General features: G+C 35.8%; 1 long non-coding RNA gene across 1 annotated transcript, besides 1 other annotated feature; it reads left to right on the forward strand.

Annotated features, from left to right (window-relative positions):
• Nucleotides 496–696: a silencer, noted in NCBI's record as "peak2450 fragment used in MPRA reporter construct". NCBI's record gives its function as "represses an SCP1 promoter by STARR-seq MPRAs in K562 erythroleukemia cells {active_cell/tissue: K562}" and the evidence as "EXISTENCE:reporter gene assay evidence [ECO:0000049][PMID:32103011]".
• LOC105371020 (uncharacterized) lies at nucleotides 11,288–15,089 on the forward strand. Its single transcript, XR_001751712.1, has 3 exons — nucleotides 11,288–11,702; nucleotides 12,980–13,065; nucleotides 13,956–15,089. It is a non-coding gene; the product is annotated as an uncharacterized LOC105371020 (long non-coding RNA).
• Nucleotides 15,090–19,129: the final 4,040 nt, after the last annotated feature.

Consider the following 19,129-nt stretch of genomic DNA (forward strand, 5'->3'; position numbering starts at 1 on the left):
ATAAAGTGATTATAGGAAGGAAAGAACACAGTGTAACTGTCTATATTTTAAAAGGAGCCAGGCTCCTGATAGTTCTGTGCTATATCAGTTCATAATCAAAGTAAGCAATATAAATCCATTTTTAAAACACTAATGTGTCTTAGATTTTTTTTAAGGAAAAGGCCAATTTCTTGCAGGTGTACAGTGGCATTAAAATTCTATTTCCTGACGTTTATAATCCTGGTGCACTGGACTTGCAAAACAGAGTTTAGTTTTGCTTTGTTAGGGGAGAGGGTAATATTGTCTCTGTCCTGGTCCCTGTTCATTCTAGCCAGGTGTTCGGGTGTGTTTGATGACATCCTCTGCTGTTCCCAAGACCCACATTTAGTGGCTGCAATTTTATTTCTCACCATCAAGACTTCTAAGATGAGGCAAAGGTTGGGTTGCTCATGAGCTCCTCTTTGAATAACCATATTAGGTTCTAGCTGTGTAACTAGTACAGTTAGATCCTGGCGTGCCGTTAGAATAATGTAACATAGAACACAAGGGCTTATTTGGTGGAATAAAATATGGTGGAACACAGTGATTAGAGCAAGTCACTTCGCCTCTTGAAGCCTCAATTTCCTCCTTTGCAAAGGAGTTAACAGTAGCACCTACAGGAGGACACTGTGAGCATTCATTGAAACAATGCGTATGAGACGTGTAGTATAGAATATGCCTGACCTAGAGGGAGAGCAGAGACAGTACATACCTTCCTGGTCCCACCACTTGCTTGCTGCTGGATGTTGGGCAAATAACCTCTCTCTGCCTTGATTTTCCTAGTTCTAAAGTGGGATTAATAGTAACATTGTGTTCACTGATTTCCTACGAGGACGAAATGAACTAATGTTTATAAAGCACTTAGTACAGGGCCAGCCCTTAGTGATATTATCATGAACGCACAGTCGTAAGCACACAAATGCATGTTATCATCAGTATCATCATATATTTATTCAAAACAAATGAAGTGTTGTCAGTAAAATAAAAATTGTTGTATTAAGACATTGTGAAACTTAGAGACCTAAATGGGAATGTTACAACAAACTAAATATTCTGTTGGTACAAATATATTTTAAACAAACCAAGCTGGAAATATCCTTGTCATAAATTGACACTGGACAAAAAAAAAAGTATTCTGCCATGCTGAGCAATACTAAATCTAATTGTCTTTTTTACTTATAGTTTTAAATTTGTTTTTTTTTTCTTTTAGTTTTGTGCAAAGAATATTCCATTTTCAGTTCAGTACGGTGAACTGTCAAGCAGGCATACTTAGAATTTTCTCATGGTATTTTGAAATTAGTTTGAACAGATTGGTTAACACATTGTTTTTTCCAATTTCAATTTTAATAGGCAAAATATTATTTGCATTGGTAATAAATATTAGTCGTAACTTGAACATTTATTTCTTCTTTTTTAGAGATGGAGTCTCACTACATGGCTCAGGCTGGTCTCAAACTTCTGGCCTCGTGCGATTCTCCTGCCTCAGCCTTTCAGAGTGCTGGGATATGAGCGTGAGCCACTGTGCTCAGCCAATATTATAACAAACTAAACTAAACACTCTGTTAGTCTCCATTGCTCAGCCAATAACTTGAATATTTCTTTTTCCATTTCTAGGCTTTTTCTTCCTTTCATTATCATTCCTTTAAATCATTTGGGCTGAATTAAGAAATGCCAAGAAACCAGTGTATTAGTTTTATAGGGCTGCCATGCCACAAACTTAGTGGCTTAAACAATAACAATTTTAATACCTTACAGCTCTGTAGATCACGAGGCCGACACAGGCCTCACTGGACTAAAAGCAAAACACCAACAGTGCTGTGTTTCCCCTGGAAGCTCTACGGGAAAATTCATGTTCTTGTCTTTTCAGCTTCTAGAGGCTGACCCCTTTCCTTGGCTGCTGGGCGCCTTCTTCTAGTATCTGAGAGTCCTGTATTTCACACATCTCATCACTATGATACTGACTTCTTACTTTTTGACTTTTAATGCTCCTTTCGGTTACATTAGGCCCATTCAATTAATCCAGGATAATCTCCCCATTCTACCATCAGTTGATCCACAGCATTAATGCCATTTACAACCTGAATTCCACTTGATCATGTAACTGAACATATTCATAGTTTCTAGGATTAGAATATGGACATCTTTGGGGAGGAGGCATTATTCTGTCCACCACAGCCAGCAATCATATTATCAGCCTGTGAAATCTCGTGTCTAACTGGGTCATTACAGTACCAATTATGTGATAAAAGTGATAAATTCCCCTTTGCCTACAAATGCTGAAGAACAGGGTAAAGATCATGGGTTTTCTATGCACAAGTTGAAGCAGACAATGCCAAAAGTATTTTATATATCATCAAATCTTTAGGAAATTTTGACCTCGAGAAATTTATTTCATTTTATTTTTGTTTTATTTTTTGAGACGGAGTCTTGCTCTGTCCCCAGGCTGGAGTGCAGTGGCACGATCTCGGCTCCCTGCAAGTTCCGCCTCCTGGGTTCACGCCATTCTCCTGCCTCAGCCTCCCGAGTAGCTGGGACTACAGGCGCCCCCCACCACGCCCGGCTAATTTTTGTATTTTTAGTAGAGACGGGGTTTCACCGCGTTAGCCAGGATGGTCTCAGTCTCCTGACCTCGTGATCCACCCGCCTCGGCCTACCAACGTGCTGGGATGACAGGTGTGAGCCACCGCGCCAGCCGGCCTCGGGAAATTTTTAGCACTGGGAACAAAACTGAAAGAGTGGATTTTCACATGGCCTTTAAGGAAATAAGCGTCCATTTGGTGTGAATACTTGATGTGGGTAAAGACCTCCTCATCCTTTCAAACAAGAAGCAGCCAAGTGTCAAGATTTATCAGCTTCTATGACAGCTGTATTTGTGGATGGCATCAAACACTCCCTGAAAGTTTTGCTAATATACTAGATCTTAAAGTTCAGTCATGAAGAATTTTAATGTGTCATCAAATATTTGTTATATGTTATCATCCTCTAGGTCAACAATAGCAAAAAAGCAAAAAACCTAAACTCAGAATGAAATAGAATAAGTTTGACAAATTTGGTAATCTCTTCAACATTCTTATTTACATATTTACATTTTTGGCATTGTGATATTTAGCTCTTGCAGTTTGGCTTTTCTGATTGGGAATTGGAAGGTGGGATCAAAATGCAGCAATACAACTGAAGAACAAATTCTTACCTTCCAGGTGAGGACACAGAATACACTGGAGCATTGGTGGATTTGTTATTTAGTCTGTTACTGCAGAAGACCAAACCATAACACTAGAGCCAGATTATCATGAAAATCAAGAAAAAGCTAAAATATGTTTAAGGAAAATTCCATTTATTTGCTAATGGCTGGACTGACTTAAAATCCATTAGCCTTTTCAAGGGCCAGGATCAATACTTTTGAAACTTTCAACTCTCTTGGGGCCCTGAAAACCCGTGGGCCATGATGTAATGAATTGGCTGCATCAGCTTATTTTCAATATTCCTCTATTCAATCTCCTTGTCTTCATGTGATTCCTTTAGCTTTAAAAATATTAAAAGGTAATTTGAGATATTGGAAACAATATTCTCTTAAATCAAGTTGTGTATATCTCCAAACATTTTGATGTTTACTCATGAGAAGATGATGGGTGCCGATTTCTAAGTTGATAGCTACTCAACAATTTCTGAGCATAGCATCATCTTCCCGCTGAACTGTCAATAAATTCTACTTGGAAAATCAGTATTTCAATAGTGTATAGGACGTTTAGTGATGTGAGACACGCCTCTTGAGATTAAATGATAATATGTTCTAAACTGAAGAAGACCTCTGATCCCATTAGTTGAATTATAGTTATTTCCTAATCAGTTTGTATTTTATATTGTGATTATATAATTTAATTTATTAAAATGACTTGACAAAAACAAATTTGACTTCATAAACAATGTATAGAATACATTGTAATATCTACTAAATGTTGATCACTAAAAAGTTCATGTCAAATTAGGAATGAGAAACACAATTCTAAATAGAAGGGTAAAAAAATGTGGACTCATTGCTTTAAAAAATCTTTAAAAAAAAGAACTTGAAAGAGAAATGTATTTCCTTTATATAAAACAAAAAATGAAGTGAAACTTCAATCAATAGGCCCATTCTAAAAAAAACAAAAAAATCACTTGCTTTAGTCATAAGTGTGGCAAATGAATGTAAATTTCTACATATTTAATTGCAGTAAAATGTAAATATATACTGTTATGATTTTTTTTTTTTACAACTGTGCTCTAAGTTTCTTAATTAATGGAAAAATCTTGTGGTCTTAGTCTGAGAGATAGGGCAACTTTACTGAAAGTTTTTAACTCTTTATTTTGACTGTAACTGCAAAGCCCTAAGAACCCTTGCTCACCACACTTTATAGCACTGAAAAAAAGCTATATATGAGACAGTGTCATCCAAGGGGAAGAACTATGGCCTTGAGGTTAGGTTGGCAGGTTTTTATTTGCATGACCCTGGACGGAGATTGTAACCACTTTGATTCAGTTCCTTTGTTTAACAAGATAGAACTTAGAAAACTAATCTTTAAGAGAAGAAATAAAGAAACCAAGGTGAAAGTGCCTGGAGTGGTGTAATCACGCAATAAATGTTCATTTCTTTTTCCTTCAGTAGAATAATATATAACCTGTTTTGGAAAACTTATGTAGAAATGTATTGATTTCCTTCAAAATTTATTTTCCATTAAAATATTTACGTATTCCTTTAAAGCTTGCTATTTCAGGCAAAATTATGCTTAGTTTACAAATACTTTCTCCAGAATGGCTTATGAGTCTTAAAAAGGAAATGAGTGCATATTTTACCTTACAGAAAAATCCTGCTTTTCTTGCCTAAAAGTGAATACAAGAGGAGTAGAAGAGGTGTCACACCTTTTACATCTGGGTGTTTAATGCAGTTCTCCCTTTGATTTGCCAGTTGTAAAATTTATCTGATTATTTCCTAAAATTTTCTGATTAGGATAAGAAAAGAATAACATCTTTTATTTGGATTTAAACCAATTCTATCTGAAGTAAGTTAGCCTCAAAATAATAGTGCTAGCTGGAGGCCATTATCCTAAGCAAATTAATGCAGGAACAGAGAAACAAATACCACGTGTTCTCACTTGCCAGTGTGAGCTAAGCCTTAAGTACACATAACCATAAAGATGGGAACAATAGACAGTGGGGTCTGCTAGAGGGAGGAGAGAAGAAGGGGAACAAGGACTGAAAAACTACCCATTGGGTACTCTGCTCACTACCTGGGTGACGGTAACATTTGTATCCCCAACTTCAATGTCCTACAATATACCCACGTAACAAACCTGTATATGTATCCCCTGAATTTAAAATAGAAATTGAAATTTTAAAGTAATTAATTAATGAAACAGCAAAAAATAAAATGAAGCAGGAAAAATAGACACAAAAATAATAACAGTGGGGCTAGCCATATTGCATTAAAACATCCACACAAAGCACATGGACAACTGTCTTTAATATCTCCATCTTCATTAGGCTAGTGAATAAAGCAATAGAAAAACTCCAAGTGTGTAATTTCATTATCTAGGACACTGATGACTTAGAATCTCTTGTTTCACAGACGGATCCAGGCAAATCCTATTGACACAGGGAAAAATTGGTTGCTTTGGGTTCCATTTACCTGCAGAAATGGGAATTATTACTTGCTAAGTGATCATTTGAACTACTAGCCCTGGAAGGCATATGTCGGCTCACATGTTTAAAGCATATTTTATCTGATGACCGCTTTTATTTTAAAGATATAGAATAATGTTTTACGTCTTGAATTATTTCTTTCTATATACTTGGCAATAGCACAGTAAAAATCCAAGACTTTTTTCTATAACTGGGATGTATCTTAATTCCTCTTTTTTTTTAAAAAAATAATTAAGTGCATAGTAGTTGGAAATAATGAAACGTTGATGAGTAATTGATGGATGATGACGAAGCCCACCCCAGACTGTTTTCTTCGGAGTTAAATTTCTAGATCCACAAGCGATATGTTGCATAAATGAATGAAAGTGCTTAGGATGTAGCAAGACTGTAATAACAATACTTTAATTAACTGAAATTAAACGGTGATGTCAGAGAAAAACTTATGTCAGATCACCACAATCAATTAAACACAGTGATAAATGTAACATTCTTCTAATAAAATAACTTAATCCTATTTGCCACTTCAGATTGAATAATCAGTTTTTCACTCACTAAAATGGAACCCAGAATACATCTTCTATCTTACTTTGTCGTTTGATAAAATGTTAGTTTTTCTATATTTGTTAACACAGACCAGTATATGTTATTAAAACACTGGCCGTAAACAGTGTAGGTAGTCTAGCATATATTCATAATTTCTTTGTACAAGCTAAGAAAGAACACATTGATCAAGTCCTTTTCAACATAAATTGTATTTCATGCAAGTTAAAATTAAACAGAAAACTGCATTTAAATAAATGTGAAAGATTCAAATAGAAAATGGCCTTTGGAACTCTTCTTATATTTAGTCATCTATTATGTTTCTTTTAAAAACTATTAGATAAAAAGCTTAGATAGAACAATTAACATAAAATGCTTTTTGGGGAGAGGGGCTCTTTTTTAAACCCTGTTTAGTATCATGATATCCTATTTTATTTTACGTGAGACATTTGCATGGACATATTAATTCCAAAAAGCTAAGTGATCTTATAGACTTTATAGATGAAATACAGCAAGAAACAGAAAGCAAATAATTGCATGACTGTTACTGGCTATATTCCGGGTCTTTAAGAATTTAAGACCGCTATAGATAAATGATATTGCTTGGTACCTGCCCGTCACCAGATTGGAGTGGAGGAATTTAGTATTTAGAAATCTTTTATTTTCTTCTTGCTATTATACAGTGTTATTGAGTTGGTAATCAGTGAACCATCTTGGGCTTTGAAGCTTCCCTTGTGTTATGCTACCCTGCTAGGGTACATAATATGATGGTTTACCGTTCAGCAAAATCTTTTGTTTTCACTCAAAAAAAGCAGTCCCCAGATATATTTAAACTCATAGTATAAATGCCATGGTTTTAATGTACGGTGCCATTTTGTAGGCATAAAAGACAAACAAGGTGTGTTACTGTTTTTGATAACTTTACTCACTTTTATAAAACCTAAGAATAGTTATCTGAAAATATGTCATTCCCTTGGACTGGAATCTAGCCCCCAGACCTGTGACGAAATAAGGATGATTTCAGCACACTGAAGAAACAACGAAGTGAAAGGAAGAGGAGCCCACATAGGGTCCTCTTCATTGTGTTTTAGAAGGTCAAATTCTCTGGTTATTAACAGACAGAGTATTTCAGAGTTTGAAGAGACATTAAGAAACCAGGAATCTACCTCCTCCCTTTTACAGAAAATGATACAAAAGATAATTCTTTGCCATCTCAGTGCCCACGAACGGCTTCCACTTCACCATTCAACCTTGTAGGTGGTAGAGCTGGAGGGCCTGTGTGAGGTGAACAGGCACGAAAAGGACTGAGAGTGGAGAGAATATGGTGGAAGGAGAACACAAACTTCCTGGCAAGAGCCGACTTATTGAGGGAATGACACAAGAAGGAAGTGGTGTACCTGGGTGAAAAATGCACAGGGTAAGGGTGACATTCATAAGAGATTTTCCGAGGCTTGTGGAATTGCTGAGAGCTGGAGAGCTGGTGAGGAGGTGAGAACCAATCTTGATAACTCTTGCTGTGTTATACGTCTGGACCTTATTTTAAATGTTCTTTGAAGGCACAGTGAAGAATTATAGTTATTTCTGAATTCCTATTGGAGGCTAAAACTGCCTTCTTAAACTGGGCAACACATCAGCTACTGTATAAAGTGGGTCTCTAAAATGATAGTTTATAGTCATATAAAGAAACAGATATCAGGAAAGAGAAGATATTTATCTAATGAGTTGATCTCTTCAGTCACAACAGTCAGTTTGGATAATGTTATTCACCAGTGCATTCTTCTTTCCTTTCTAATCATCCCCAAGTTTATCTCCTCTGAGGCTCACGCTCAGCAGCACAGATTGATTTACTGAACTATATAAAAGTAGCTGCTCTCCTACCACAAAAACTCCAAACCTTCTTTCTTTTAAACTTTCTTTCATAATAAAATAATGTAAGGCAACCTTTCTAATGTGAAGACAACTTTACTAAGTCAGTTGTAGAGACAGAAGAGAAGCTTGGCTGGTAATAGTGATAACACTGCACAGTTACACATTTTACAGAAATCTAGGAGTTTATTTATGAGCATGTGTGGAAATGAATAAATGACATTTGTATAGTGCTTACTATATGCCAGGTATTTTTTTAACTGTATCATACAGTTAACCATTCGATATTTACAGTATGTTCAGGAGACAGGTTCTGTTGGGATCATTTCATTTTACGTAGAAGAAACTAAGGCATCGAGCGTTTAAGTGACTTGTTCAAGTTCACTTCTTTGGCAAATGGCGGAGAGGGGATGTTGAGCCAGAGACCACCTGCTCAACCACTGCCTACATTGCTTTTATTGACTTAAAATTACAAAATGTTTAATTAAAATACCTGTTAGGTATTCTTCATATTTACATTATCTTGGCAAGTAATATAATGATCATAGCTAAATAAATGCTGCATAACTTACTGAAATGAGAAAATTGCTTTGAGTATGTTGAAAAATACAGTAGATCGTGCATATTATGTTACACTATTACTTCACTAACGAAGGACTTCACTATGGCTAGTCCCATGGATAACCAGCCAAGGTCATGTCTCGAAAGCAATGCTCTTTCCACAAATGTGGTCTGAATCACAAAGCTTTACCTGCATAAATTATATTGTATTTTATTTTGAATGTACTTCAGAAATTTGGAATTGTACTTTGGTACCGTAGACATTGCCTACTCTCGTATCCTTTATGACATGGCTGTGAGGATGGGATGTATATATATAATATATATACACATACACTATATATGTAGTATATATAATATATATACATATGCTGTATATGTAGTATATATTATATATACATATACTGTATATGTAGTATATATAATATATACACATACTGTATATATAGTATATGTACTTATATATACTAATATAGTGTATATATAGTAAATATACTATATATACTATATATACTCTATATACACTATACTATATATATACTATACATATACTCTCTATATAGTATATTTTTTATATATATACTATACATATACTCTCTATATAGTATATATATTTTTTATATATACATATATGTGTGTATATATATGTAGTCTTTACTTCTCTAACATTTATACTCATTGAGGAGAGTTGGCCTTTTCCTGTCTAAAGGTTCACTATAAAATGGACACATCAGCTGGGCACGGTGGCTCATGCCTGTAATCCCAGCACTTTGGGAGGCCGAGGCGTGCGGATCACGAGGTCGAGACCATCCTGGCTAACTTGGTGAAACCCCGTCTCTACTAAGAATACAAAAAATTAGCCGGGCGTGGTGGTGGGCGCCTGTAGTCCCAGCTACTCGGGAGGCTGAGGCAGGAGAAGGGCGTGAACCTGGGAGGCGGAGCTTGCAGTGAGCCGAGATCGCGCCACCGCACTCCAGCCTGAGTGACAGAGTGAGACTCAGTCTCAGAAAAAAAAAAACAGAACAAAAAAACGGACACATCTTTCCTTTGCCTTGTTTAAGAGTGGCATTTCCCAGCAGCCAGGGAAATCATTTTAATTCTCTGAGGCAGAAGGAAGATTTCATGTGTAAAATAAGGTGAGACTGTTTCTAAACTGGGATCTTTCCACCTTTTGCCTGGTATGGAGTCTCCTCTATGAGTGATGTTGCCAGTGTATATGCCAGTGATACAGAGAACCATTATGTTCTAGACTCGTTCCATTTACCCATCTCCTTCTCTCACTACTTCCACTGCCAACATTAATGTGACAGAGAATCACAAATCTTAACTCTTTCTGCTTCGGCCCATTCAGAGACTCTCTGGTTTATCTGCTTATTAAAAAGAGTGGGACCTGGAAATATGTGTGAGGTAGGGGCCATATTGATTTGCAGTATTGGTGTTGGCAGAAATCATGCAGCAGACCTTGTAGGCCAAAAACCACAATTGTTGTATAAGGTTCTGTGACGTTGTCACCAGTAGAAATCCAATATTCTCATATCATAGTTATTTGCAGTTATCTCAGTATATCATATACACATCAATATTTTGTAATCAAAGTAGTTCTGACACTTACTAATAGATTTTATCATTTCATATGTTGAAAAAATAAATATAGGTTATATCACGATTTGTTTATATTTTGCTAACAATATTTAAGATAATTGGTTTACTTAATAATTGTCCTTCATTTATGCCAGTAAGGTCACATTCTGGGTAACAAACAAAAAGGTCAGGAATCCCTGCTATAAAGTGATATACTGTGGAAAAAGGCAGTAGAAAAATAAATGGATCCAGAGCCTTTTCCGCTTGCATTTTTGAAATTAATGCTGAACTCTTGGGTGCCTGAAGAAAGGGGACAGAGAGTGTTTCATGTTCTTTCGTGTGATAGTCAGATGTGGTTATATGAGGAGGCCGTGGAGAGGCTCCAGAAACAAACTTTACTGTGCTCACAGGCCCTGTAGACAGTAGACATGAGATACCACATGGGACCATGTGGAAAAAAACACCAGGTTAGTCAGAAGACAAAAGACAAGAGCAAGGGGAAAGTTTAGGCCGAACCTTTGTTTGAGTTTCTCCCTGACAAGGTAAGGCAGGGTGATCAGCTTAGGATTAGCTAGTTTGAATAATTTTAGTGGGCTCTAAGCAACAGGGTGGTCCTTAGTCACCTGGTACCTGGACCTGAATGATTCAGGCAAAAGAATATTGCCTGTTGGAGTGTAAGAGCCAGATAGGGGAGGGCTGGCTCTGGATTGGTTCACTTGCAAATGAAAGGTGTGCTCCTGGCTGGCTAGGCCCTTCTATCTCTAAGAATTGAGTAGCTGCAGAAGGGACAGTCTCTCCTTAGCTAGAAAGGATTTTTAAGATGTCAGAACATCATAGTATGCAGAAAATAGTACACTTGCCCCAACCCCCCCGCCCCCCGCCCCGCCAACACACAGACATACACACACACACACACACACACACACACACACACACACACACTACAAAGAGCATCTGACAGAAGTCAGGGTAGCTGTCCAGAGGCTGATGTACCGTTACTTATACATGTATTTTTAGCTCACCTCTTTCATCATTGCATTGTATGCTTTTCTATTAAATCTAAAGAGTTTCCACTTCCTTAAAGACATCGTGTTAAAGTTGTCCCTTTCACTTTCTTCTGTTGCCGGGTAATGTATGCTCCTGTAGTTCTGAGGGGAAATAAGCCAAGCACCAAGGGTAAGCCTTGTTCTCTTGCTGGCTGAGCAGGAGTTGAAAGAGGAGGTCCTAGTCTTTTAGACAGAATGTCCAATGGACCAGAATACTGTTACTGTAAGAGTATTTTTTGATGCTTGCTCCCTGCTGATCATGCCTGAAAAACACTTTCTAGAAATCTGATGTGTCAGAAGGGAACTCTGCCATGCGGACTTCACAGCACCAGGATCACAAGAAGCTCTAAGACTTTCCGGGGGTTTAGTATACCGCTGCCTGCATGTGGTGAGAAGATATCAATATTTATTCAGGTATTTGTTTTATGTTTTTTTCTATTACTATGTGTGCTAAATAATAATGTTGTTCTATGTTCCAAGGGTTAGCAACAGAGTTTTCTTTGTTTTCTAAGTCTTATATCTACAATCTTAAGAAGTGTACAGAAGAATCACCTGTAACACTTAAATATATATATATATATCTTCCCTGCTTACATATATATATATATATATATATATATATATATATATATATATATCTTCCCTGCTTACCCCAGTGATATTCTGATTTCAGAGACATCGAAGGTTTTCAAGAAACCATGTTTTTACAATGGTGCATATATAACAAACATAACCCCAACTGAGAAAACTACCTTACTGAATTCATGAATAAATAAACCCTTGTATCATTTTGACTAGGATAATAACTGCACAAACACATATAATACTTGGATGGCATTGGTTAATATTTTATGCAGTTATGTGCACTTTTGTGTAACTTTTTTTGAAAAAGATTAAAAAATAACCAACCCTGAGATATGTCATTTGCATATGTTAATTTCTTTTATTAGAAAATGCATAAATTAACTTTAAAGAATGAAGAACATTGAGATATTGTAATTTATGTATTGCATTTATAGACCAAGTCTATATAAAAGTATAGCTTCCTTTAATTGAAAGGATTATCTTTATCAGCTTTCCTGAAGTCCTGTGTGCTTGATTTACTACCAATTATGCCACAGATCTCTAAATAGCAGTTATCTTTTCTCAAATATTTCCATTGCTGGTGTTAATCTTCTCTTGATTTTCCAGTTACCTGTTTCTTGATGATGTACGTAAATCTTCTTTCTTTATTTTATTTATTTATTTTTTTGAGACAGAGTCTCTCTCTCTCGCCCAGGCTGGAGTGCAGTGATGCCATCTCAGCTCACTGCGAGCTCCGCCTCCAGGTTCACGCCATTCTCCTGCCTCAGCCTCGCAAGTAGCTGGGACTACAGGCACCCGCCACCACGCCCGGCTAATTTTCTGTATTTTTAGTAGAGATGGGGTTTCACTGTGTTAGCCAGGAGGGTCTGGATCTCCTGACCTCGTGATCCGCCCACCTTGGCCTCCCAAAGTGCTGGGATTACAGGTGTGAGCCACTGCTCCCGGCCTTAAATCTTCTTTTAGTACCTTGGATCCCATCTTGTTGCTCTCATGAACTCCAAACTCTTTATATTTATCATTTCCTTTTTCATCTGGATATAGTATGTAATTTTATTTCTCAAATACAGTCTCTATTAAATGTCAAGGAACATTTTCTGATATTCCAGGCACTGTTCCAGACCCTGGAGATGTGGAGTCCCAGTCCTCTGAGAGCAAACAAGCATAGTACCATGTGACGATTGCCATAATCCAGGTGAGCCTAAGTGCTGATTGAGGGTGACTCTGTGCAGGCTTGCCCCAGGATGTGATTCCTGAGCCAGTTTACAATCATTAGTGGAAGTTAGGCATTCAGAACTATGACTTATGCACCTGTACATTACCAGCCCCTTATATGGTACTTGTCTCTGACACAGAGTAGCTGTTCAATAAATGTTAGATTTGACTGAAGGATGAGGAAAACAGAGTTGTTAGCAACTGAAAATAATTATCTGGGTTTGAGGATTGACTGCAATTCATGAAAAAGTTTAAAAATGTGTTTGAAACTATGCCAGGGGCTTTAAAATGTATTTCTATGCTATACAAGGTGTTTACATTTTATTTTAAGACAATGAAATTCCAATTAGGGTAAAGTATTATCTAATTTACTTTCTATAATGTGCATTTGGGCTTCTTATAGAAAGTTTGGTCTTGTAAAAAGGCCTACCAGTGCCCTTCCCAAACCCCTACTAAAGAATCTACATAGCTTTTCAAAAAATCAAACTTTAACCACATCAACATGGTAAGACAGAAAAACAAATTTTTCAAAATCTGCAAAAATTTTGACGCTGTCACTGATTGAGCTGGATTGAGAGAAACAATTGGTCGTCTATTTAGACTTACATGACAAAAAAGACAGACTTGGTTCATCAAAAGGGGCTAGGAAAGCACTATATCCCTCCACAAGATCGCCCCCGTCCTTTTTTTTTCCTCTCAGAGATCTTAAAATTGTGCTAAGAACAAAAAAACAAACATCGAGAGTAGTCAGTCCTGTTATCTGATCTCTGATGACTGTTGCAAAGATTAAAACATTCCCTGTGTCTCTCCTTTCCTTCTCTCTTGTTTTAGAGCTGGCAATGAGAAACTCTTTTCCTCTCCTGTTTATAGGTGATACTCTTTAAAAAACGCTTATATACCAGACTATGATACATAGACTATCTCAGCACATTCAAAAGAGCAGAAATTGTACAGATGACATTTCAGACCACAGTGCAATACAATGAAAGATGATTAACACCGTTGTAAGAATACGTGATGATCTATAACAAAAGGTTAGTACATATTTAATTACTCTCTGGATGGGCAATGGCTTTCTAAGAAGGTAATTTTAGAAAGAAAGAAAAAATACTACATTAAAAAATGTGGTTAAACGCTTGTCTTTGCTCTCTGGCAGCTTTCGCTTGTTATGAAAGAGCACCTACCACATTAATATTAAGACTGGATGTTTTCATGTGTGCATTAACTGACATTCTGTAAGTTTATTGAAGATTGCAACTGTGTACCTTAGGTCTCTATATCCTGCCTGTTACATAATGGATATTAATAAATCTCTCATCAAAGACTTTTTCTAAAATTACACTTAAAAATAAAGAAAATGTCGACAAATATAAAAATAATATTTGCAAGTCAAAAGGAAAAGACTAGTACTCTAGTAGAAAAATATTTTTAAAAGTCCAGACTATTCAGATATCTGAATTATTAATAAACTATTTCTAAATGTTTAGTCTCCTGCATTTAAAACAAAGTTAAAACTAGATCACACAAATTTTGTTTAATAAGTTGGCAGATGTATACATTGCTTTACAGGGTGATAGTGTGAATGTAGATTCATTACAATCTTCCTCGAATACTTGCAAAAAGCAAAAGCAGGAGATACTTTACCACCATTAGAAAACAAAAACAAAACAGATACCCAATCATATTATTTATTGCCCCATATAAATTCCAAATACTCAATTTACAGGAAATAAAGAGGAGTATAAAAGTATCTATGCATTCACAAAATCAAATAAAGTTACTGAAAGTGATTCAGTCACAGCCCAGGAAGATTACTTATATTATTCTTCATGTTCTCCACTATAGTATACACTTGTATATGAAATACATTTCCTACTTGTAAGGTTACAGACTTAATACTCTCCTTCTTCTTGGCTGCACTCTAATTTATTACTCTAATAGATTTCACTAAGTCAAGGATGCAACCCATGTAGCAGATGTATTTTGCTAGTATATGGAATATATATGTAATATATATATTTAACATTTATTAAATATATGTATTGTATTAATGTATAAGTTTATATATTCATATATTGTTTATGTTTTATCCAATATGTGCTTTCATTCTAAAAGCCCATATTCTTATATGTCTAATTTTAAATTAAAATTAAAAATAAATTATATGCATTTACTTTATCTTACATTATACAATTAATTATATACGGTAAGATATATATTTATATCTTTATTAATTATATATCTTACAGTATATATGTATTATTATATATAATCTTATAAACATATGCAACAAAAACCTACTTAAAGGACAAATTTTAATAAAGTTGGAAATGAAGAATTGGTTTACTGTTACCATTGAAAATGTTCTCTGTTTATACAAATAAAATTATATAATGTATAATTATATAATGTAAGATATATAATTACATTATATATATAATGTAAGATTACATTATATATGTAATGTAAGATATAGTTACATTATATATGTAATGTAAGATATAGTTACATTATATATGTAATGTAAGATATATAATTACATTATATAATTGTATTTGTATAAACAGAGGACATTTTCAATGGTAATGGTAAATCATTTCTTCATTTCTGACTTTATTAAAATTTGTCCTTTTTTTAATTAAGTAGGTTTTTGCTGCATATGTTTATAAGATTAAGTCATTTCCTTTTATTCTAAATTGAGTTAAATGTTTCATTATCAAATAAAGAATGGACATTTACATTTGCTTTTGCTAAGTAATTTTAGATATCTTTCAGAATATCATTTAAATATTGTTTTAAGTATATTTCCATGAGGATTTCTAAAGTTCATCATTGCTTGCTTTCCTGAGATAAACTCTATTTAGTCAGGATGTCTTATTCTATCAATAAATTGCTGCTGTTGAGTTGGTAGTACTATCTAGTATTTACATATATGTTCATAGTGAGAATTTGGTAGAGACAGATAATGTGTATGTATCTTCTTTCAGTTTTATTGGGATATAATTTACATTCCATGATGTTCACATGTTTAGTGTACCATTTCATGTTTTTAGTATGTTAATACAGTTGTGCAAATACCACCATAATCTATTTTTAGAATATTTTTATAGTCTTAAAAAATAAACCTTGTACCAATTAGCAGTAACTCCCTATTTCCCACTTCTGGATTTTAAACAGTGCCAGAACATAGAGAAAAAATAAACTTTCTAAAAACTTACAGGAGGTTATGAAGTTGTAAAGAAAACAAAAAATTATCCATTAATTGTAGATTTAACAGATCTCATCTATTCAAATTACTTTGCCTTGTAACTTCATATACACATATACATTAATTTTATTGACTTATCAAATATATATAATCTATCAAATTTTCAAATGTATATGAATAAAATTTTATTTAACATTTTATATAATGTTTTATCTATTTTATCTTTAGTTGTATCATTTTCCTCTTTCCTCATAGTAATAGCATCTCCTTTATTTCTGTCTTGTTTATATTTGAAAAACAATTTATTATTTATTTACTAGTGTTTTTCAAGTAAATAGTTTTGGGGATGAATTTTTGTTTCACTAAGTTTGTTTCTTTGTTTGCTTGTTTGTTTTTGAGACGGAGTCTCGCTCTGTCGCCCAGGCTGGAGTGCGGTGGTGCGATCTCGGCTCACTGCGAGCTCCGCCTCCCGGGTTCACGCCCTTCTCCTGCCTCAGCCTCCCGAGTAGCTGGGACTACAGGTGCCCGCCACCACGCCTGGCTAATTTTTTGTATTTTTTAGTAGAGACAGGGTTTCACCGTGTTAGCCAGGATGGTCTCGATCTCCTGACCTTGTGATCCGCCCGCCTCGGCCTCCCGAGTAGCGGGGATTACAGGCGTCCCCACCACGCCCGGCTAATGTTTTTTTTTTTAAAGACGTGGCCTGGTGCGGGGGCTCACGCCTGTAATCCCAGCACTTTGAGAGGCCGAGGCGGGCAGATCACGAGGTCAGGAGATCCAGACCATCCTGGCTAACACGGTGAAACCCCGTCTCTACTAAAAACACAAAAACAAAAAAATTAGCCGGGCGTGGTGGTGGGCGCCTGTGGTCCCAGCTACTCTGGAGGCTGAGGCAGGAAAACTGCATGAACTCGGGAGGCGGAGCTTGCGGTGAGCCGAGAACGTGCCACTGCCATCCAGCCTCGGCAACAGAGAGACTCCACCTCAAAAAAAAAAAAAGTAGATAAAAGCTTATAGAATAAGAATATAACAACAAAAAAATCGTGTATAACAGTACAATGTGTTTTAAGCTACATTTATTATAGAAGAGTCAAAATGTTTAAAAAAACAAAATTATAAAGTAAAAAGTTACAGTAAGCTAAGGTAAATTTATTATTAAAGAAAAAGAAATATTTTCAATAATTGTAGGGTATTCTAAGTGTACAGTATTTATAAAGTCTGCAGTAGTATACAATAGTGTTCTAGGCCTTCACGTTCACTCACCACTCACTGACTCACCCACAGCAACTTTTTGGCCTGAAAACTCCATTCATGGTAATTTCCCTATAAGGTACCATTTTTTATCTTTTACACTGTATTTTTGCAGTATCTTCTCTATATTTAGAGACACAAATACTTACCATTGTGTTACAGTTGCCTACACTATTCAGTACAGTAACCTGCCATACAGGTTTGTAGCCTGAGGACAAAAGGCTCCACCATGGAGCCTTAGGTGGGGAGCGGCCTGTATATCATCTAGGTTGGTGTAAGTCTGCCCATGATGTTCACACAATTATGAAATCACAGAAACATGCATTTCTCACAATGTGTCTGGTATGGTTGGGCTGTGTCCTCACCCAAATCTCACCTTGAATTGTAATAATCCCCACAAGCCAAAGGCAGGGCCAGGTGGAGATAATGGAATCATGAGGGAGGTTTCCCCCATACTATTCTTGTGATAGTAAATAAGTCTCAGGAGATCTGGTGGTTTTGTAAATGGGAGTTCCCCTGCAAAAGCTTCTCTTGCCTGCTGCCATGTAAGATGTGCCTTTGCCTTCTGCCATGATTGTGAGGCCTCCCCAAACATGTGGAACTATGAGTCCATTAAACCTCTTTCCTTTATAAATTACCCAGTCTCAGATATATCTTTATTAGCAGCGTGAGAACAGACTAATACAGTATCCCCATCATTAAGCTAGGCACAACTGTAGTTACTCATTCTTTCTTCCTACTGAATTAGAATGTTCTTGAGGATGAGAACTGTTTGCTCTTGTTTTATTGATTAATTTTTCACTCACTCAGCAGCAGTTCTAGTTTAAGTGCAATACAATAGTGGGTAAAAGTGTACCTGACTTCCGCTCTAATGGAAGTTATAATTTAGAAGTAGAGACATTTATCAAGTATTCATTCAAATTGGTGCATAAACTGAATTTTAATTATATAAAAAGTGGTACTTCAGGGGGAAAAAAAACCTGGCCAAAACTGGAAAGAAGAATGTTGTTAAGGAACCTTTTACTCTTCCAGCAATGTTGGAAAAGAGGTAATTCACTTAAGGATTTTGAGCTTAATCCTAACTTCAACAAGAAGTGGTTAGGTAATATAAAAAGCAGAGAATGGATAAGTTAATTTTTTAGGAGTTTCTTCTGGCTGCCTAATGGAAAAAAATAAGATAAGGGTGAGTGGGAAGCAAAACAGTTTCTAGGAGGTGAATTAACTGGTCATTTAAGTAATTCAAAAGAGGGATGTTGTTAGATTAAAAGAGAATGGTGGTTGTGGACATGTGGATATAAGACAAATTTGAAATGTATTTTTGAAAGAAAACAATGAGACTTGTTAGTGGAAAGAATATGGGGCAGTGTGTCAGGCACAATCTGCTACACACCCAACATCAGAATATCTTTTTATACTTAGCCTCCCAACATCAGCTAGGTATTAAAAATCCACTTGTCTTCAACCCCCTTCTTCTATTCCAGTAGGATTTGATTTTTTTTCCAGCTAATGAGAGTTCAGTAGATCTTAGAAAGGAAATGATACCCTGTCTCAGCTCCAAGGGGTGAACTGTGATTGTCTAATTGAA

The sequence above is a fragment of the Homo sapiens genome, chromosome 15 (genome assembly GCF_000001405.40).
Source record: "Homo sapiens chromosome 15, GRCh38.p14 Primary Assembly".
In the NCBI taxonomy this organism is placed as follows: Eukaryota; Metazoa; Chordata; class Mammalia; order Primates; family Hominidae; genus Homo; species Homo sapiens.